We start from the raw sequence: 22,232 nt of genomic DNA, 5'->3' as shown, positions 1-22,232 counted from the left end.
CAATATTATAAAAAAGCACAGGAATCACTGTGTAACATTTGGTAGCAGCTACTCTTAATCTACTATAATGCCAGGCCTTTGTGAAGCAGTTTAAACACATTATCTCTTGTAGTACTCTTAATCACCTTGTGAAATAAGTTTTATTATCGTCTTTTAATAGATGAAACAACTAAGGTTCAGAAAGATGAAATAATTTACCCAAGCTCTCACACTTAGGAAGTGCATGAGCTACAACCAGAGCTCAGCTATCTCTTGCAACAAAGTCTCTACACTCACAACCACTCCAAGTCAGATTCTCCCTAAGCCTCACTTTCCCCACCTGTAACTGAGAATACTCATACTCATGTGCAGGGCTGTTGGAAGGATGAAAAGGGGCTGTGTGTGTACTTTGCCTACCTCAGTGCCAGGATTCAGTAGATACTTCACAAAGGGTCAGTATTTTGCCATTATGTTAAGATTTGGGGAAAAAATATATCTGTTGGCTGATTCTTTTTCAGCCATTTAGTTTCAGGCACATATGTTCAATGTCTCAGAACAGTGCTTCTCAAACTTTTGTGTGCATAAGAATCACTGGAGAGCTTATTAAAATGCAAGTTCTAGTTCATTAGATCCGAGGTCAGGCCTGAGAGTGTGCATTTTTTTTTTTTAATCAGCTCCCAGGACATGCCAGTGCCACTAGTCCAAGGAGCACGCTTTGAGAAGTAAGGACTTAGCAGCATTCCTCGTGCGATCTCAGAAAGAGGTTTCCAATGAGGGCAGCTGTTCCCAGTGTCTTTTTTTTTTTTTTTTTTTTTTTTTTGGAGACAGAGTCTCACTCCGTTGCCAGGCTGGAGTGCAGTGGCATAATCTCGGCTCACTGCAACCTCTGCTTCCTGGGTTCAAGCAATTCTCCTGCCTCAGACTCCTGAGTAGCTGGGATGCCCACCACCACGCCCAGCTAATTTTTGTATTTTTAGTAGATACAGGGTTTCACCATGTTGGCCAGGATGTTCTCAATCTCTTGACCTTGTGATCCGCCCACGCTGGCCTCCCAAAGTGCTGGGATTATAGGCGTGAGGCACTGCGCCCAGCCCCCAGTGTCTTTTAAAGGTTGATTCCCAACCTTTTTGGCACCAGGGACCAGTTTCATGGAAGACAGTTTTTCCACGGAACTAGGGTGGTGGGCATGGTCTCAGGATGAAACTGTACCACCTCAGATCATCAGGTATTAGTTAGATTCTCATAAGGAGCGTGCAACCTAGATCCCTCGCATGCACAGTTCACAGTAGGGTGTGTGCTCCTATGAGAATCTAACGCCACGGCTGACCTGAAAGGAGGCGGAGCTCAGGTGGTAATGCTCCCGCCCCATCTGCTCACCTCCTGCTGTGCAGCCTGGTTCCTAACGGGGACCGGTACCAGTCCATGTCCCAGGGGTTGGGGACACCTGTTTTAAAGGAAGCCAGTCAGGATTCCTGGCCATGTCCTACACACACACACACACACACACACACACACACACACACACACACACACACACAAAGTGGGATGAGGGGTAGAAAGTGTGGTGGAGGACCAAGGAGCACCACAAATCTGGTAGATTTGAGCAAAATGAGGCTGAAGAGAATTGAATCAGGCTAATTAACCAGGCGTTGGCAATAGTGATTATTTTTCAAGGAGAGGTAAGTGACAGAAATCCCCACTTCCAGGCCCAATTACCATGTCATCAAGCGCTAGGCTCTGCCTCCTGGATTTCTGTGCTTGGCGTAAAGGGCTGCAGGAGTTGCCACCACCTCCACCACCACCGCCATAGTTGGGAGGGTTTGACCTGGAGTCACTGGTACTTACCAGTTCCCCAGAGCAGGGGCTAACCCAGGCAGGGGCTAGAGAGGTCTTGCCTTGACCTTCTCAAGGTTCTTTGTCCTGCCCTTCACGGTCCATGTGTTGGCCACCACCACTCTCATATATGCACCTCTGGAACTACTTGGCACCAACCAAAGACCTGAAAAAGTATTTTAGTCACTCACATTCAGCCCTGCCTCAGACCCCAAGCATCATCATCATCATCATCATCATCATCATCATCATCATCGCTATTATTTATGGAGCTGCCATTACATGCTAGGTGTCTTACATATATAACCATTAACTAATTCCCCATAGGGTAGTTCATATTATTTCCATTTCATAAGTGGTAAAAACAAGGCTCAGAGAGAACTAGTCATTTCCTCAAGGAACACAGCAGCCAACTTAGAATGTGCACTCCCATCTGTGTGCCCCTAGAACGCATGTTTTGAGAGGGGCTAGCCAAGTGGTCCTGCATAGAGGCTCCCAGCACTAACTTTGGGCTGGATGCCTGGGTTCAGCTGCTTGCTCCCCATTTCACTTACTGCTGTGCGATCTTGGCCATATTACCTCACTTTCTAAGTCTGTCTTTCCTGTCTGTAAAAATAGTGTAATAACAATCACACCAATCTCATAGGGTTGTTGTGAACATGATATGCGATCATGAATATAAAACACTTAGCATGAGGCCTGGAACGGAAAATGTGCTCGGCAAAGTGGGTGAGAATTAGTATTACAGTTTCCATTCCACACCAACTTTCAGAAAGGGGCCCTGTGTTGTTATGGTTTAGGATAAAACCAGATACCAGCCCAAACTGCACTCTCCCTGTCCCCCTCCAAGAAACCTCTGACTGGCCCCTTTGCTGGGACAGGGCATGAAGGGAACCAGACGGACATGGCCCATGCCTTCCAGCTGCTGAAGATGGGCCTGAGGCTCTGGTGTTTGAGAGGGTCCACAGCAGAGGCTGTCCTGGGCCCAAGGCCTTCAGCCCAGTTGGCTGCAGCGTCGCAGCCAGGAAGCCCCAGTTCCATTCCATCACATCACCAGCAACAGCAGAAGAGGGAAGAGGATTTTCTCAGGCAGATGGCGAGCAGGTGGTGTGGCAGTGGGTGGGCTCCCATGATCACCTCCACCAGGTCTGTGCCAAGCCACTGAGCCCAGGGCCCAGAAAGGATGCAGCAGTCACCTCCCCAGGCCCCACGCTACCAGGTCCTGTAAGGGACTCCATGCCAAGCATTGGGTGAGACTGGTCTGTCAGTCCCAAAGGAGAAGCAGGAGCCAGAAGGCCAAGAAGAGTCGGGCTGTTCCCTGGGACAGTGGGTCTCATGGAGCTCAGTCTCCACCTTGGGGCTGCCTTCCTCAGGGCCGCTGCCCTCACTGCTCCTGCTGCCTGGCACGCTCCTCTCCCCACCTTCCACACAGTTGGCTCCTTCTCAGCTCACACGTCCCCTTCAGAGGGGCCTGCTCCAAAGAATCCCACACCACCCTGAGTTCTCTATCGCAAAGGTTCCCCACCTGGCCTAACCTTAGGCTTACCTTCAGAACTTTAGAATACCAAAGCCTGGACCCCACTCCAGATCAATCAAGGATGGTTCTCTGGGGTTGTCACTTTGTAGGAGACAAGGTCTGTTGGCCATACTTCAGCCTTAGTCTTCCCTACTCAAGTTGTGGGTTATATTTAAGGTTCAGTGAGGCTCATGGTAATGTTATCTTCTAGCATTTACAGAATGCCTACTATGTGCTAGGTGGATTACACACGTGTAACCTTTTCCTTACATGAAACTTTTCCTTACATGAAAGCTCAAGTTTAATTCTCATAGCAACCCTGTGAGGTGGACTTGGAGAGGTCAAGAGGCTTTTATGAGGTCACGATCAGCCAACCCAGATGGGATGGAGCTGGAATGTGAAACCAGCTGTATGTGAATTCAGCTTTGCCTGAATCCATAGCCTGGGCTCTTGCCCTGCAGTTTGGGATACAGAAGGGTGCAAATTCTGCGAAGTAGTGAGGCTGGAACCTGAACTCCTGGCTTCTCATCACTCTTCCCCTTCTTACTGTCCAGTGACTAGGGGTTAGGGCTCCCATGGGTGGGCTCCAAGTCACACAGCAGGCCTTTCCTAGGGGCTCCTTGTTGTCATCTCCCCAGCCTCATCACAGAGAATGCTGGAACCCCTGGAGTCCCCTGGGCCATGGCAGCCCCAGAAGTCCCCCTAACCAGGTGCTTCTCCCTCTTTTGCTCCTCAGGGCAAGGACTGCACTGTGCCCATCAACACCTGCATCCAGAACCCCTGTCAGCATGGAGGCACCTGCCACCTGAGTGACAGCCACAAGGATGGGTTCAGGTAACAGTTCACCCCTGGCCTCCCTCACTGTATTAGTTTGCTCTCACACTGCTAATAAAGACATACCCAAGACTGGGTAATTTATAAAGGAAAGAAGTTTAAAGGACTCACAGTTCAGCATGGCTGGGAAGCCTCACAATCATGGCAGAAGGCAAAGGAAAAGCAAACATCTTAAATGGCGGGAGGCAAAAGAGAGCTTGTGCAGGGGAACTCCCATTTATAAAACCGTCAGCTCTGGTGAGATTTATTCACTACCATGAGAACAGTATGGGAGAAACTGCCCCCGTGATTCAATTATCTCCACCTGGCCCCACCCTTGACACTTGGGGATTATTATAATTCAAGGTGAGATTTGGGTAGGGACCCAGCCAAACCATATCACTCACCTTGGAGGGCTCCCTGGGCAGGCTAAAGAAGCAGAGATACGACCAGCGAGGGCGTGCCCAGTGCCCGTGCTGTGCTGGCCCTGTATGAGAATGATCTCAAGGCTCTTCGCACCCTGTAAGGGAAGTACAATTTATCCCCACTGTGCAGATAAGGAAGTTCAAGCATCAGAGGGACAAATCCTCTGCCTAGAGTTACATTAAGCATTGGCACAGGGATTTGAAACCAGGTCCCAACCTCGTGCTTCCTCCAAGGGAGGTGTCTGCTGCTGGCTAAAGTCAGAGAAGGATTGGGTGAAGGCTTAAAGACTGCCCGTCTGGCACTTCCACCATGCTTTTCTGAGTTATAAAATAAGTGGCATTTATTATATGCTCACTATGCCAGGTACCAACTAGTCAAGTATTTTCTCATTTAAATCCCTACAGACCCTATCCAGTAGGTAGGTATTATCTTCATTGAACAGATGGGGAAGCTGAGACACAGAAATGGACTTGCTCTAGGTCGTATCTCCTGATGCTCATTCCTGGATCTTCCAGGCCCACCTCCAGCCCTCTTTCCTTCCTGACATTAACATTTCAAGAAGAAAAGGGAATAGAAGTCACTTAGGTTTTTCTCCTCCCTGTCCTAGGAATGGGATTGGCTTCCACCCAACCTCAGGACCCCTTCCTGCTTCCCACCTTCCCCAGCAGCTTTTAGATGCCCAGTTTCACTGGCCTGTGGCTCTGACCAAAGCAGACTGTTGGGAACGGGCTCCTTTGGCATCCCTGGTGAGCCAGTCAGGAGGCGGCAGCCCCTTGGCAATAAAGGCAGGGGCACCCCATGCCAAGCCATGTGTGGGTGTCTTAGAGCTCAAGTTGCAACCAATTAAATATCAAAAGCACTCTGGCCAGTGCTGCCGTGTGGTCTGGGGAAGAAATCAAATTCCAGGCTCCCGGTTCTCTTCCCCCGGGAACCCGCCCGCCCACGTGTCCACCTGCCAAGCCAGCTCCATCAAACTCTGCCTCCTGAAAAGTGAAATTCAAGGCAGAGTTCCTTTTCCTGCCTGGAGTCAGCCAAACCACCCACTCCTGCTGGCTCACATAGAGCAGGGGTGAGAAGAAACTGCAGGGAAACATGGAGGTGGCCACGGGGCCCCAGCCAGGAAACACCCCTCCAGGGCACACAGCCTGGGCTGCCCCACCCAGGCGAGGGATTGGGGGGGTCAGATGAGGGAAGAGCTCCCCGCTGCAGGCAACTGTGTTTCTCCCATCTCAGCTGGAGGTTCGGTTGAGCAGAAATATCTCATTTCCATCTTAAGTTGTTGAAGAGTTTCAGATGAACAGAAAATATTTTTAGAACTTAATGTAAAAGGAAAAGGGCCCAGATCTACAGGATCAGGGAAATGGGGTGGAAGGTTAAGGCAATGAGGCAGTTACTAGGGATGGGAGAGCTCGTATGCAGTCCTCAAGGAATAGGGAAACTCTTCTGCATCGGGCCAGCACCTGGTGGGTGAAGGGGAGTGGTGCTTGTCAGGAAGCTCCCCTTTGCTCCCCTCTTCCATTCTAGAGTAATTCCTTAGGGCTGCCATAATAACCACAGACTGGGTGGCTGTAATCACCAGAAATTTACTCTCTCACAGTTCTGAAGGATAGAAGTTCCAAATCAAGGTGTCAGCAGGGCCATGCTCCCTCTGAGCCTCTAGGGGAGGGTCCTTGCTTGTCCCTCCCTGGCTTCTGGTGTTCCTGGCAATCTTTGGCATTCTTTGGCTTGTGGCTGCAGCACCCCTCTCTCTGCCTGCATAGTCACCAGTGCTCTCTCTGTGTCTGCTTTCCCATGACCATCTTCTTTTAGAGACACCTGTTATATTGGATTAGGGGTCCACACTCTTTTAGTAGGACCTCAACTTAACTAATTACATCTGCAAAGATCCTATTTCAAAATAAGATCACGTTCTGATGTACTCAGGGTTAGGACTTCAACATATCTTTTTTGGGGGGAACACAATTCAACCCATAACAGGTCTTAGTCATCAGCATCACCAGCCTCTTCATACACATGCTTCTCTAATCTTGCTGCATTGCCTGCTCACAAAAACAGCAAAGGTTGGCAGAGCAGGCCCCACAGAAGACCAACACAGGAGATGAGATCTGCTCTCATCCCCACAACCAACTCATGGCACCTGGAGTCTCCTGGACAGCTCTCCAAGGTTTCCAATGAAGACAGGGAGACATCAGCCTCCTTCCACCCTGTCACTCCTTTAGCAACCTCTCTTTCCTCGACCAGCCACCATATCTCACTGCCAGGTAGCCCTAAGGCTCTGGGGGAGCCAAAGTAACTGGTCTTTAGAAAAACAAATGGGCAACACCATGGTTTAGGACTTTCAGAAACCTACCCTCTGTCTGGCTCTGAAGAAGTAGCCTTTTTCATGAGTGCCCAGAGTCCCTAACAGGAAAAAAGAATGAGTCATTTTGCTGTACCCCAAGAGCTGAGACCTGAGAGGCCCCTGGCCTTTTGTAGAAAATGTGATATGGTTTTCAGTTGTAGAAAGGAGACCAATTAAGTAGGATTCTAGGACCACTGAAATTCACTGCCTGTTAGCTGAGTGTAGTTTACTTTTTTAGCTAAATCCCAAGTCAGAGCAATCTCTGAAACCTGAAATTCCAGATCTGAAGCTGAAGCGCACACTCATAGATGGAGTGAGAATCCCTGACAAACGGGTTAGGCCAAAGAAAGATCGAGATTCATTGCAGCATTTATTTAATCAGATGGATGCTCACTCCACCCCCGACTCCCATCCCTTCCGCATGGCCTTTATCTGTTCTAACCGATCTTGCACGCCCAGTCCTGGGGATATGACCAAGATCAGGCAGAGATGCAGGCAGTTGAGGTTTTTATCCAAGAGATTTAACACTCTAGAGACAAGTGAAGGAAATGCATCTTGCCGCCCCACAGCGTTTGAAGCCAAGTTGACCCGAAGGCCTCACTCTTGGCAGGCGAGGGATCCTCCCACTCTAGCCTTCATCCCCCAGAAGCTGGAGGGGCTCAGAAGTAGCAAGAATACATGATGGGAAGAAATGGCATCCCTGAAGAACAGTTAAGGAAGTAGGGTGGTTTTGTGTAGAACTATAGCTTGCTAATGGGTTCTGAGCATTTTCTATGTGCTATGTACCCTTTTAAACATTTTGCTTGTATAATCTCAATCTTCACAACCACCCAGGTCAAGGTCAAGTAGCTAGAATGTATCAACAGGAATTCATTCCCAGGAAACCTGGGTACAGAGTCTGGGACCTTGGCCACTATATTCTGCCCACCCCCTCACCCTGAGATAGAAGGGCTGCCTTTGAGTAAAAAAATCACTTAAAGGAGGATGTTTACTATGCTGTCTCTCTTTATTTGCAAAAGAGATTGTGCCTCAGAAGAGCCAAAGGGAGGGCAGTTTGGAGGACAGCTGGAGGAATTTAAGCCATATCCAGGAAACCACTTCCAGCTGGGGGAATGATGACACCGGCCTTGTTGGTGGACATTAGCCCCAGAGCGAGGCAGCCAGCATGGGCCAGGGGAGATAGAACATTGCCTGGAGATGGGGTTGGATGAAATGACCTTTTAGGTTCCTAAGGGTCTTCCTGCTCAGGACCCCAAGGCCTCATGTGTCCAAAGTGCTTTCTCAGACCTCCATCTGGAGGAAAAACTAATTGTATTTCCCACCCGTGTCTTCCTCTCTGCCATCCCAACCCACCTCTCTCCCTGACCCCTGACTCCCCTGCTCTCCACCCCTCACATCCCAAAGCTGCTCCTGCCCTCTGGGCTTTGAGGGGCAGCGGTGTGAGATCAACCCAGATGACTGTGAGGACAACGACTGCGAAAACAATGCCACCTGCGTGGACGGGATCAACAACTACGTGTGTATCTGTCCGCCTAACTACACAGGTAAGGATCTCATGACTGTATGTATGGTGGGGTGGAGGGGTGTCGCTAGAATACCATTTTCTTAACTTCCTCCAGGGACTCTCTTCCTCTCTCCCTGAGGACAGAGACTAAGACCCCAAGACTGTGATATGCCAAGAGGGGCTCCCCAAAGGCCTGTTTGCTTCTCCGTGTCCTCCACCACCAGCCACCAGCAAATCACTGCTCCTTCCCACTTGAAACAGAGTCCCAGGCTCTTTAGCTGCTGTTCATCTCATTGCTGGCCATTACATCCTTTAGGGCCCCTGTAGACCTAGTGGTGTTTGAGGCTGGCAGAGAGGCGCTTGCATTGTGTTTATGCTTCCTTCAGGTCTAGTCAACCGTCTCTTGAAATCCACATTTTCCAGACACTTAGCTAGGAGCTAGGGATACAAAAATGACCAAGACAGAGTTCCTTCTCATAAGAAGTTTATAGTCAGGTGGACAGAGGCGTGGATTCATTAGAAAGAGAACATAACATCTATAAGCCCTGGGGTGTGGGATCACACAGAAGGAACCTAACCCAGCCAGAGAATCCAGGAAGGCTCCCACAAGAGAGCATTCCTCAGGAAGATCATTCCACCCACCTACCCCCCAAACACAAAACCTTTATTTTCCTACATTAATAACCCCTAAAAAGGACAGTTAAATATATCATTAGATTGTGAAGCAAAATGCTACCAATTTTGGTGCAAACACAGCCCGCTTTGTTATGAGATCAACCAAAGTAGCGTATCCCAGACTGGAATTCCATGAATTTGAGGAAAAATCCCCATGAGACAAGAAGTTTGGGAAGCACTGCATATAATAATAACCTTCTTCTTGGTGTACCATGATACAAATAAGCATATTAGAGGTTCCAAAAATTCCTGCTTTAAAGAAAGCTGTTTGTTTAACCCAGCAGTTCCCAAACTTATCTGATCTCAGAGCTTCCCCTTTCCCCATCCTCGAACACTATTCCCAGCCCAGCGATCCTGTGTTGCAAGAAGCACTTTTAGGAAATACCAGCCTAAGGCAAGGAGAAAATGAGGAGGGGGAAGCTCAGGGACTCCCATGTCCTGGACTACTGGAACCAGGCCTTTATGTCAGGAGTGAAGTGGGTGGTGGGAAGCTGTGGAAGATGAATAGAAGCATCCTTGAAGATGGCAGAGAAGGAAGCCAAATGGCTCCCATTGTCCCTCATAGCCCATACCTTTATCAAGCCTCCAGCCCATAGACAGTATCCCCAAGTACACTCTTGAAACTGTAGGAACGTACCACCACCAACTGAGAAAACCACTTGCTCTAATAATCCTGGGCTTCCTAGGACCCCAGACAAGCTTCTGTGCTGGGAGAAAGTGCATGGAAATCTGCTGTGGGGGCGGATGCAGTGGCTCACGCCTGTAATCCCAGCACTTTGAGAGGCCAAGGCAGGCAGATCACCTGAGATCAGGAGTTCGAGACCAGCCTGGCCAACATGGCAAAACCCCAGCTCTACTAAAAATACAAAAATTAGCTGGGCATGGTGGTGGGCACCTGTAATCCTAGCTACTCAGGAAGCTGAGGCAGGAGAATCACTTGAACCCAGGAGGTGAAGGTTGCAGTGAGCTGAGATCCTGCCACTGCACTCCTGCCTGGGAGACAGAACAAAACTCTGTCTCAAAAAAAGAAAGAAAGAGAGAGAGATAAAGAAAGAGAGAGAGACAGAGAGAGAGAGAAAGACTGACTGACTGACTGCTGAGGGGTTACCTCCCCTTCCCTCTTTCATCTTCTGAGAGCGGAATTGTAGCCAAGAGTTGCATTAGCAACAGGCAACACTTACTGTGCACCTACTGTATACAGACTACTAAATTAGCCACTTAGAGAGACCAAGAAATCTAAGGTATGCCCTCAGCCCACAAGGGCTTCTGGTCCATGAAAAGAATCACTGTATAGAGTTGAGTCATTGGTCAAGAAGAATCAGCTTAGTGCCAGAAGAGAGATGACAGAAATCCCAGTAGTGAAAATGGAGAGGGCAGTGGGGCTCTAACAAAGGCTTTGTGGCAGGGGAGGGGCTTGAACTGAATTTAGAGCAGGCAGATGGGCAGCAGGAGGGTACTGAGGAGGCATTGATGAAGTGGTTTCCTGCCGCAGTTGAGGCCTACCTGGTGTCTGCCGTTGACCAGGGTGCACTGCTGATTTGTTGCACTTTGGTCCTGAGAGTGAGTGCTTGTATAATCTCATTTAATCTCCACAACTGCCAAAGTCAAGGTCAAGCAGCTAGGAAGTGTCAACTAGAATTCATTCCCGGGAAACTCAGGTACAGAATGAGGCTTTGTGGTTTGCTCTGTCCCAGAAAATGTGCAAGTCCCACACAGATACTTGTCTGCTTCTCTGGGTGTCTCCAGATGACAAGAAAGAGGAGGCTTCTCAGGAACATAGTGCCTTCTGTGGTCTTGAGAGGCTGAAGGCAAAATTTGGAGAGGGAGGGGTTCAGTGCTCCCTCCCAGGACATGGTTGGGGTCAGCCTCTCCCCACCATAGCAAAGAACAGACTTAGGGGCTATCTGTTACTCATTACCCTGCAGCCAGCCCTCTGGACCTACCTGCCTATACCCTGGGAGCAGGAGCTAAGGCAGCTTTCCCCGCCCTGCTCCCACCCCATTCCTGGAGAGAACGTTCATGGTTAGACCTTTCCCTCTCTTAGATCACTCTCCATCTGGCTTGACCTAGTGGAATTTGAGGAAACCCAAAACTCGGATCTTAAAAGCTGGTGTTGCTTGGGAGCTGCTGTCCTGCCTTACCGCCCTCCCCCACATTCCTAAAACACATTTTCAGGTGGTGTAAGCTTTTCAGGGCTTATCTGCAAGGGCCATCCCTGGGTGTTTATGACCGTTAGGTATTTTGTAGCACTGCAGACTTCAAAGGCAATGTGTCTAGAGACCAGAACTTCAAATTCCTTTCATACTTCCTTCCCTGAAAAATCCAAGGGGCTTACTTTTCTGTAACAGGTGAACTGGGCTGCTAAGCCTTGTCTGTGTCTCTGAAGCCTCCTCTGACCTCCTGGGGGAGGTTATGGGTCCCCCTTGTGCTTCCACAAAGTTTGCCCTTCTGGTCACACCTACAAGTCTGTATTGTAATTGCCTGCTTATTTGTAGATCTTCCCAAATAGGCTGTGGGTAGGAAAGGACCCAGTCACTGTTGTGTCCCCAGTGCCTGGCACAGTACCTGCCACACAGGAGGTGCTCAGTAAATAAGTGTGGAATGAAAAAACAAATGAATAAGCATGGCCCAAAGTGAGGGCCAGGCATCCTGTGCTCTCAGCTGCACCTGCCCCTGCCCCTGAAAGATCAAGTAAAACAGCCAAATGGTGATGCTAGGACAGTGTCCAGGAGGACACCTGGAATCTTCCCGTGGTCACTGCCAAAGAAACCAAGGCAGAGGTGCAGGAGGATACACAAGGAGTGAGAACACAGGACTCCTGACGTCCATGCCCACCTGACCAGGGGCTGGATGAGTCTGATCTTCTGGCCAGGATATCCCCCCTAGTACTCTGATCTTCTGGCCAGGGCATCCCTACCCTGCCTGAGGCCTGAGCTATCTCCCCCATCTGTGCCAGGTGAGCTATGCGACGAGGTGATTGACCACTGTGTGCCTGAGCTGAACCTCTGTCAGCATGAGGCCAAGTGCATCCCCCTGGACAAAGGATTCAGGTAAGACCTGGCTTCGTGCCCCCAGCACAGAGTCCATGAAAACTCTGCCTCTAACAGTCTAGGTTTTAGGCAGTCTCTGGTCTCTCTGCATGCTCTCTCTCTCTCTCATGTGCTTCTCTGCATCTCTGATTCAGCCATGATCTAATTATCTCAGTCTGTTTCCCTATGCGTGCCTCTGTCTGTCTGTGGGTGTCTCTAAGTCTCTGTAGATAGACAGGTAGGTAGGGAGAGAGAAAGAGACAGAGAGAGAGAAAGATCCACTCTTTCTCTTCCCTGCCCCTTCTTCCTTGCCTCTCCTCTCCTACCAACTTCCCAGTACTCTCAGCATATCCCTCCTTTCTAGAGCTAAAGAAGTAGAGCAATTCCACTGGGGAAGCAGCGTCTAAAGGGTATTTGGTCACCTTCTCCATGTGCAGCCTTTGCAGTACGCTGCCCCTCCAGTCTACAGCAAGTTTTTCAGCTTATGCACCTGTTGCAGGGGAAGGGGGCAGGAGCACTGTGGTCCAGCAGCATGGCCATTGGCGGAGCTGTCTCCATGGTGAGCAGCAGAGCCCATAGGAGCCAGGGGAGCACGTGAGCAGCCCTAAGGGTGGATGGAGAGGCTGCCTCAGGTCAGAAAGCCATGCAGCTCTTGAGGCTGAGGATCCAATGGCACTCCTGGGAAATCCCTCCCAGGCCCTGTACTCATCTCTTCCTTTCACCTTCCTTCATGAAAGCTTTTGCCACTGCCTCTTCTAGAGAAGATTGTGAGACCCTTGAGACTGGGGGTTTTCTGACATCGAGAGGGAGATCCCAGAACTCTGTGGCCAAAAACATTCTTCCCAACCCCAGTGCTGCCTTCTACACCCAGCTGCCTCCTTCTTCTCCCAGCAATCTCTGTCCAACACCAGAGGAAAGCCACTAGCACCAAGGAGTCAGGGTTTTGGGAAACAGGCAGTCCGGGGCAACTGGAGAGACCCCAGGATGTTAGCAGACCCCATAAATGACCTTACAGAGCCTCCCCTAGAGATGAGGGCCCTGGGCCCAGAGCTCCATGCCTGTGCTGATGAGTCTTTAAGGAGAATGCCCACCAGTGGCATCTCCAGCCTCTGGGGCCAGAAGCTCATGCTCTAGGTCTTGATGGGTCCAGAAGCTGTCATCACCCAGAATCTGTCCTGTTCTCAGTCACAGGGCAGAGAGTTAGACTCTGGGGGTATTTGTGACTATGATTCTAAACAACAAGACTTAGGACTTCAGGGAACCCCAAGATCTCAGAAAGCCCAATCACAGAATCTTAGAAATTTAGAATCATAGAATCTCTGAAACTTGAACTTGTAAGCTCTTAGAATCTTAGAATCTAAGAAGCAGGAGTTCTAGTTGTTGCTCCAGCCAGCCCACCCATCAGTCCACAGATCTTGATTGTGTGGAGTATAGTGGGGATTGGAAGATGGTTTTGATTCATCTCCTCAAGGCCCTTGCCATGGACCTAGGGGAAGAAGATTTGACACTGAGCAAATATTTAGAAAAGAAAGAAGTTCTAGGCCCCACGATTCTGGCTCTGTTGCTGGGGTTCTGAGGAAGGAAAAGGCTGCTGGAGGAGAGAAGCAGCCCCACCCCTTTAGGAATAGAATGTGGGTGACCCTTGAGGGTGGGTGGAATTTGGATGGGTTGAGAGAAGGAAGGACGGCTCCACTGGGGGAAGAAGAAGCAAGTAAGTAAGGGTGACAAGCAGACATGAGCATGTCTTTTATCGTGTCTTCCTTTTCTATTTTCACATCACAAGCCTAGATCTCATCACCAGGGGAAATGCCAAGAGGCTCTGGTTGCTCAATGAGACCAAATGAAGCTTCAGCCCTTCCATGTGTCTACCCCATTCCTATCTACCTCATCTGCCCCATGCCCCCTCAGATATGCCAGGTGGGACTTTTAGGCAGTCAAGTTACCTGAGTACAAGGGTGAGAGATACCTCACAGGACCTCCCCGCCTACTTCCACCCCCCTGATTTGACTTCAGTTCACTGCTGATCTTTACGAAGTATGGGATACTGTGAGGGGACAGGGAAGAATGAAGGGGCAAGGGGTGGGAAGAGACATGTAAATGCAAACGTGAACTCAAAGCAGAGCAGGCCAGGCAAGCAGAGTGCTCTGGGCATGCCCGGGAAGGGGCAGGGAATGGGGATCTGCCCATGGAGAGGAGATAAATTGCCTCTTGGCTGAGTGGACAGCAAGCTCAGAGGACACAGGCTTACACCAGCACTGGTCAGAAGTGGTCTAGGGGCCACCCTGGCCAACATGGTGAAACCCCGTCTCTACTGAAAATACAAAAATTAGCCAGGTGTGGGCACACTCCTGCAATCCCAGCTACTCAGGAGGCTGAGGCAGGAGAATCGCTTGAACCCAGGAGGCGGAGGTTGCAGTGAGCTGAGATTGCACCACTGCATTCCAGCCTGGGTGACAGAGGGAGACTCTGTCTAAAAAAAAAAAAAAAAAGAAAGAAAACAAAAACGTGGTCAAGGGTGCAGGTGTGGGGTTGGTTGGAGTGCTGGAGAGCTAACACTGCCAGGTTTTTATGATCCCCAGAACTTATTCCTAGAAACCTCTATTGTAACTAAAGTTCCTTGAGTTCTAAGACAATATAGGAAAGAATAAAATCAGTCTAGCTTTCATAATCTTGAGATATTGTATTTATATGTGATGTCATTATCTTGAAAAGGTCTACAGGCCAGCTCAATGTTAGTGTTTCATTAAAATGTGTTTAAATCAAAAATTATTCTTCCAGTGCAACATTTTATCATTTTATCTCCTTCATCTCCCATCACCAAACAGCTCATATCCTATGGCAGCCTGTAGGGATATTAGCCAAAGAGATACACAGTCAGGGTGACGTTTGTCCAAGTGTGAAGATGTTTATCCTTGGAGTTCTCCTTGTACGTTCCCTCTCCCTCAATGAGGTCTCAATGAAGGGCAGATACTACCTGTCCATAATACAATAGCCAAAAGAAAGATCACAATGACTAGCATGTACTGCTAACTTATTCTTTGTCAGGCAAGGTGTATTATCCAACATCCAACAATCTTAGAACGTAGAAACTCATTCACATTTTATGAGGCTCACTGAGGTGGCATAAGCCACCTCCATGCACACATATAAAGGGGTGGGGCTGTGAATCAGTCTGGGCCTGACTGATTTCTCAGCTAAATCCAGAGACTCCAGATGTCCTGGAACCAAGGACAGCATGCGGTTACTCTCCCTTGTGCAGAATCAATAGACCCAACACATATTAAAATGCATAAAATTTAACTAGAAGAAAAAGGCAAGCATTTGAGAACAATGGAGAATGCAGGTTACAGCACCAGCTGCCTCTCTTTAGTTGATGGAGAAGTACTATATAGGTCCTTGCTACCAGAGGTTCTTGAACCAGCAGCATCAGCATCACATGGGCGTTTGTTAGGAATGCTAGTTCCCAGGCCCCACCCAGACTCCCTGAATCAGAAGACACATTTTAACAAGATCCCTGGGTGTTTTGTATGCTCATTAAAGTTTGAGACTTGCTGGTATTGAGAGGGCTGTAGCATTTTAAAAGAAAAAGAAGGTCAATACATTTGCCTCCCGACCTCCACTGCTTAGTCTGAGAGTGAGAATAGCTTCCCTAATTCTTAATAAAGATCTCACCAGTAGCCTTGAAGTCCAGGCTTAAAATATTGGATTTTATCTTGTAAGTATTGGCCAGCTATTATTGCCTTGGAGAAAGTCATATAGCTTAAGTTGTTCTGCAACTACTTTTTAGAATTCAAGAGACACACAGATGGCTTCCTGGGCCAAGTTTAACACAGTAGCAGAAGTATACATGGTGCTGTATTGAGCACATGCCCCTCAAAGGCATTCTCAATGTGTTTCCTTAAAAGACTGGTTGAACATGTAAGTTTGTACTTCCAGTGCAGCAATAGGTTATGTATTTCAAATTTGCCAATCAAGTAAACGTGAATTGGTCAGATCTTAGCGGATTTCAATTTTTGAGCATAGGCCAGTAAGTCCTCAGTTTCAGGAACTTGTTCCAGTCGAGGACACATCACCCCCTCCGTGTCTTACCTAGCTATGAATCTACAGCCTGCATCATGCTCTGCCAACCACAACGATGCCAGTGGGGTTGCCACTTGTGGATTCCACCCCACTTCTATCCATTCCTAAAGAGGAGAGGGAGGAGAGGGATGAGGGAGAACCATCCCTTTGCCCTGATTCTTCCGTGGGGCTGCTTATTAGACAATCTAAGAGTTTAGAGAGCTTGCTTCCCCCCAACCCTCACCTCCCTGCCTTTGTCACCTCCTTCTGCCATGCCGCCTCCTCCTCTGACTTGGATAGGTTGTGGCTATTATTTTTACCTGCCCACTAGAATTCAGCTGTTGGGCCCAGAAAGGTACACAGGCTTTGCAGAAGGCAGAAGCGCCAGTAAGCATTTGCTTATATGTGCCTGTGGGTGCACCTAAGCCTCTGTGACTCAGCCCCTCGGTGCATTCAGGTGTGTTTCTATGCTGGGATTTTGGTTGAATGTTGCCCCAGACAGAGGAGCCCAGAGATGCATGTTTCTGGCCCACACTCAAGGAGGCCAGGTTTTAGCTGGGGCAGCTTCCTCTGGCCAGGTTTTAAACCTTGTCTAGAAGGGGCAATAATGGAATTGCTGACGCACCACTCTTTTAGGAAGGGCCAGATTGGTGTGCAGGGCCTGGGGCAGAGCAGGTGTTCCCATCCTCTTGCCCAGGTAATATGAGCCACTTATTAAGGCAGAAGAGATTTTTGCCTTTCTCATCCTGGTCTGAATCTCAGAGTGCAAACAGTATCGTATTCCTCTTCATTCATCTTCTACATGTCATGTTGAATATTTAACGTTTAATGCACTACACAAAGCATATCATATCATTTTTAAAGCAACCATAAGAGGTGGAGTTATTTATCAATTGCATTTAAAGATGAAGAAACTGAAACACAGAGAGGTAATGAGTGACTGACCCACTTAGAACAGTTTATGACACGCAAGTGTAAACTAAGTATTATCACTCGATGGGGTGTGGGGGTCCTCAGGGAAGTGCCTGCAGTGCTCTCTGCCCTCTGGTTTCTTCCTTACGATGGAGTATGGTAGACCCTCCCTTACAGGGTCCTGAGAGGCCTCAGTGAGAACTCAGTGAAAGGGGCATAGCACAGTGCCTGACCCAAAGGAAGGACCAAACTGAATGTCAGTTTCATGTAGGAAGTGGCAGATCCAAGCCAAAAGCTGGATGAGTCCAACCCTGTGTTCCTCACCCTGGCTCTGGAACACAAGACTCGCCCCACCATGAATGGAACAAAGGCCATGGGCCACCAGGGAAACCTGCTGTGGAGCCAGGCTTTGCAGATCCCAAAGGAACTTGGGTAGATAGAAGAGATGGGGAGAGGCCACCTGCTGAGGGGGGCTGGAGAGTGACTGCCTGCAAGCTGGCTTTGCCTTGAGGAACGGCCTTGCCTCTGCCTATGTTCCAGCTGCGAGTGTGTCCCTGGCTACAGCGGGAAGCTCTGTGAGACAGACAATGATGACTGTGTGGCCCACAAGTGCCGCCACGGGGCCCAGTGCGTGGACACAATCAATGGCTACACATGCACCTGCCCCCAGGGCTTCAGGTAAGGCAGGAGGGCACCTCAGGAAGGAGACAGCCTGGGCCAGGTGGCAGGGGCTGGGGCTGACTGGCTAAGGTGGCCAGAATGGAGACTCAGGCCCAGGTGGCTGTAGCCCCGGTTCTGGGTGATGCCTTTATTCCCCTGATACCTTTGCAGTCCTTACATGTCCCCATGAGGGAAATAGAGCAGGTATTGGTAATCCCACATTGTAGATGGGAGAAGAGCTACTTGTGGCAACTCCACGTGAAAGCTGGGCTTAGGTTCAGCTTGTGTAATGTCATGCTTGGGTAGGATTCCATCTAATGGAAGATGCCACCATCTTGAAGCCCAGCTTGCAAGGTGGAGGTAGCCACATGGCCACACTGGCCAGAATCTTCTTTCTAGGATGAAGAACAAACATGATGGTTCCTCAGTGGTAACCTCTATTCTACTTCTGTTGCTATGAATTTGGCTACTCTAGATGCTTTATATAAATGGACACATACAGCATTTGTCCTTTGTTGGGCTTATTTCACTTAGTATATAGTGTTCTCAAGATTCAACCATGCTGTTGGGTATGTCAGAATTCCCTTTGTTTTTACTGCTGAACAATGTTCCATTGGATGGATGCGCCACATTTTGTTTATCCATTCATCTTTCCATGGGTAGGAATGTGCTCTTTTAAGAAATCACCCCCAGGCAATTCTGATGACACTGAAGTTTAGGGACCTCTACTCTAGTCCAACTCCATGATTTTATTTCTTGGAGCCGGAGTCTTGCTCTGTTCCGCAGCCTGAACTCGCACTCCTGTGCACAAGCGATCCTCCCCTGTAACTGGGACTACAGGCTCATGCCACCATGGCTACCCCAACTCTCTTAAAAATGGGAAATATGGGACTTAGAGAAGGAAAAGGTCTTGCCCCGGTTAGTGGCAGGGCTGGAACTAGCCCCTAGAACTAGTGTCATTTCCCATCTCACTCTACCTCTCTGCTCGAGGTTCTTTGGCCTGAGTAACTGTGATTGTCTCCTCTTGGCCATTCTCCTATCTCCCTCCCCATTCTCTCCTGCCTTCCAGTGGACCCTTCTGTGAACACCCCCCACCCATGGTCCTACTGCAGACCAGCCCATGCGACCAGTACGAGTGCCAGAACGGGGCCCAGTGCATCGTGGTGCAGCAGGAGCCCACCTGCCGCTGCCCACCAGGCTTCGCCGGCCCCAGATGCGAGAAGCTCATCACTGTCAACTTCGTGGGCAAAGACTCCTACGTGGAACTGGCCTCCGCCAAGGTCCGACCCCAGGCCAACATCTCCCTGCAGGTGTGTCCCGCCCTGCCCTGCCCTTGGAAGGACCTCAACATGCCCACAAGCTCTGATAGTTCAGAAAATTGCTGGAATGCCCCATCTTAACAGTAAAGCACCATCAGGGACAACACTCAGCTTGAGGACATCTGGACCAACTCATCCAGAGAGTTCTATAGATAACTCCTGACCAGCTCTCGCTGCAAACTGCAGCCCCCACTTCCAGCCTCATTCACTCATTCCTCCAGAAAATATGCATTCAACTATTGTACACCAGACACTGTGCTGCAGAATTGGGATTCAGTTCAAGACAGACAAAACCCCTTGTCTGAGGCCTATCCACTAATCCAAGAATCTCATTCTGGGTGGCTGGCTGTGAGTGCAACTTCTGAAACCAGCAACTTTCAACCTTGGCAATACTTTAGAATCACCTCGAGAACTTTTTAAATTATCTTTGGCCAGGTGTGGTGGCTCATGCCTATAATCCCAACACTTAGGGAGGCTGAGGTGGGTGGATCACTTGAGGTCAGGAGTTCAAGACCAACCTGGCCAACATGGTGAAACCCAGTCTCTACTAAAAATAAAAAATTAGCAGGGCGTGGTGGTGCATGCCTGTAATCCCAGCTATTGGGAGGCGGAGGCATGAGAATCGCTTGAACCTGGGAGGCAGAGGTTGCAGTAAGCCGAGGTCATGCCACTGCACTCCAGCCTGGGCAACAGGGCAGGACTCTGTCTCAAAAGAATAAATAAATAAATAATAAAATTATCTTTGCCTGGGCCCCACCCGCAAGAGATTCATGTGTAGCTAGTCTGGGGTAAAGTCTAGACACTGGAATTTTTTTTTTAATTCCCCAGATGACTCTTAGCATAGTGCCTGGTTCCTAGCAAACATTGAATTAATTATCATTGTTAGCATTTTCTTTATAACTCTTATTAGCCAGGTGCAGTGGCTCACGCCTGTAAGCCCAGCGCTTTGGGAGGCCAAGGTGGGTGAATCATTTTAGGTCGGGAGTTCAAAACCAGCCTGGTTAACATGGTGAAATCCCGTCTCTACTAAAAATACAAAAATTAGCAGGGTGTGGTGGTAAGCACCCGTAGTCCCAGCTACTCAGGAGGCTGAGGCACCAGAAACGCTTGAACCCAGGAAGTGGAGGCTGCGGTGAGCCAAGACTGTGCCACTGCACTCCAGCCTGGGCCAAGATTCTGCCTAAAAATAAATAAATAAATAAATAAGACTTATTATTCTTCTTTATACAGAGAAACCAAAGAAGGGCCTGAACTTGGGCGGGATCATGTTATGCACCAGAGGGAGAGGGCAGATTAGAGTTCGGGCCTCCTGACATACATTAATATATGAACATAGTGGTGCACAGTAGGCACTCAGTAAAAATGTGTTGAACTGGTTTGCTCAGTCAGCACTTGCTGAGGTGTAAGTCTAGGCCTTACCTTCTGGGGATTTACTGACTAGATGGAGGAGGAAAGATGGACATGAATTTAGACGCAGCACAGATTCAGAAGCTGCTGCCTGGAAGAGGGCTCTGTGAGATGGGCAGGGAAGGTTCAGTCTCAGGTAAGCCCTTACTAACACGCCCCGGCTGCTTTCTCCAGGTGGCCACTGACAAGGACAACGGCATCCTTCTCTACAAAGGAGACAATGACCCCCTGGCACTGGAGCTGTACCAGGGCCACGTGCGGCTGGTCTATGACAGCCTGAGTTCCCCTCCAACCACAGTGTACAGGTAAGGGCCTCTCTCCCTCCTGACCCACTGTGTGTTCCTCCGCATCCTTCTGCCTCTGGGCCTGCAACTCAGAAGGGGGATTCAGGAGAACTCGGGTGTCCCTTCTCCCCGCCCCTACCACGCACATGTGCGCACACACACACTTCCTCCTCACCGAGTGGTGAGTGGGAGGGAGAAAGGCGTGTCAGAGGAAGAGGCAGAGGAAGGCAGGCCCGCAGAGGGGAGGTGACACCTCATCACCATAAGATAAACAGGCAGCTGGCTACTGTGCGGGAGTGCGCGCTGCAGTGGGGACGAGGCTGCTTAATGAGGTGCCCTTTTCAAAATGTCATCTTAATCTTTTATTAGTTTAAGAAAGACAACAGGGCACAATTAGCATGCAACTCAAGGGGAAGAAACTCAAGGGCACGGAGGGAGCAGGGCCACCCCTTAGGTGACTTTCAAACCATCCTGAAGGGCAGCTTTTCCTAAACTTCAGCCTCTCCAGCAGCCACCCTGGCTTGTGTGTGATGGGTGTGGCAGCTGGACTTTCACTTCAGATGCTGCCTTACAGCAACTTTCAACTGCTCACTTTCTTTTCTTTTTTTTTTTTTTTTGAGATGGAGTTTTGTTCTCTTGCCCAGGCTGGAGTGCAATGGAGCAATCTCGGCTCACTGCAACCTCTGTCTCCCAGATTCAAGCAATTCTCCCGCCTCAGCCTCCCTAGTAACTAGGATTAATTACAGGTTCATGCCACCATGCCTGGCTAATTTTTGTATTTTTAGTAGAGATGGGATTTCACCATGTTGGCCAGGCTGCTCTCGAACTCCTGACCTCAGGTGTTCCACCCACCTCAGCCTCCCAAAGTGCTGGGATTACAGGTGTGAGCCACAGCACCCAGCCAACCGCTCACTTTTTGCATATAGCTGCTCCTTAAGGAATGAACATCTGGGGAATCACAGATATGTTAGTTGGATATGTTAGATTTTTTTCAGCTTCTCAGTAAAATAAATGCTAAATATTAAAATAAAAATTTAGTTATAAATATTTTTATAATAGTAATAAAAATGACTACTAAAAGTTAAAAATGTCTGTGTTACACCTAAAATCATGTCAAACTACCAGTAGAAGGAGAGCCAAACCTTAGGGAAACCACAGTACAAAAGAGAGGCCACACTGTCCCCTCAGAGGCAAGAGCACATTTCATAGGGATTGGTGAAGAGCTGCAACTTTCAGACTTTCTTCCCCCTGCTAACTAAATCTTTTCTTCCATTAAAATCTTATATTAAACTTAAGAATTGTAAATACTTAGAAGCAAAACCGCCCTGCAGTGTTGAAGCAAAGATCCCCCCTCCACACACACTGTTGTCAAGGCCCCTGATAAATCATCCAACAAACCCAATTTGAAAGCCATTGGTTAAAACCAGTGGTTCTCAAAGCGTGGTCCCCAAGGCAGCAGCACCAGCATCACCTAC

The 22,232-nt window shown here is 49.0% G+C and overlaps 1 protein-coding gene across 3 annotated transcripts in view, besides 1 other annotated feature; it reads left to right on the top strand.

Moving 5' to 3' along the window:
- Positions 1–22,232, top strand: part of SLIT3 (slit guidance ligand 3) — a 639,400-nt gene that overhangs the window by 596,396 nt on the left and 20,772 nt on the right. For all 3 annotated transcript variants that reach the window (NM_003062.4, NM_001271946.2, XM_017009779.1), the window contains exons 27-32: positions 4,065–4,162; positions 8,313–8,452; positions 12,044–12,137; positions 17,628–17,765; positions 18,817–19,057; positions 20,648–20,778. In NM_003062.4, coding sequence (NP_003053.2) covers positions 4,065–4,162; positions 8,313–8,452; positions 12,044–12,137; positions 17,628–17,765; positions 18,817–19,057; positions 20,648–20,778 — 842 coding nt within the window. The remainder of the gene's footprint in view (positions 1–4,064; positions 4,163–8,312; positions 8,453–12,043; positions 12,138–17,627; positions 17,766–18,816; positions 19,058–20,647; positions 20,779–22,232) is intronic.
- Positions 20,367–20,866: an enhancer, noted in NCBI's record as "H3K4me1 hESC enhancer chr5:168110883-168111382 (GRCh37/hg19 assembly coordinates)". NCBI's record gives its function as "activates a minimal SCP1, AML or CMV promoter by ChIP-STARR-seq in naive H9 embryonic stem cells {active_cell/tissue: H9 hESC(naive)}" and the evidence as "EXISTENCE:reporter gene assay evidence [ECO:0000049][PMID:30033119]".

This window comes from Homo sapiens, chromosome 5 (genome assembly GCF_000001405.40).
Source record: "Homo sapiens chromosome 5, GRCh38.p14 Primary Assembly".
Classification (NCBI taxonomy): Eukaryota; Metazoa; Chordata; class Mammalia; order Primates; family Hominidae; genus Homo; species Homo sapiens.
This window is presented reverse-complemented; position numbering and strand designations above follow the sequence as displayed.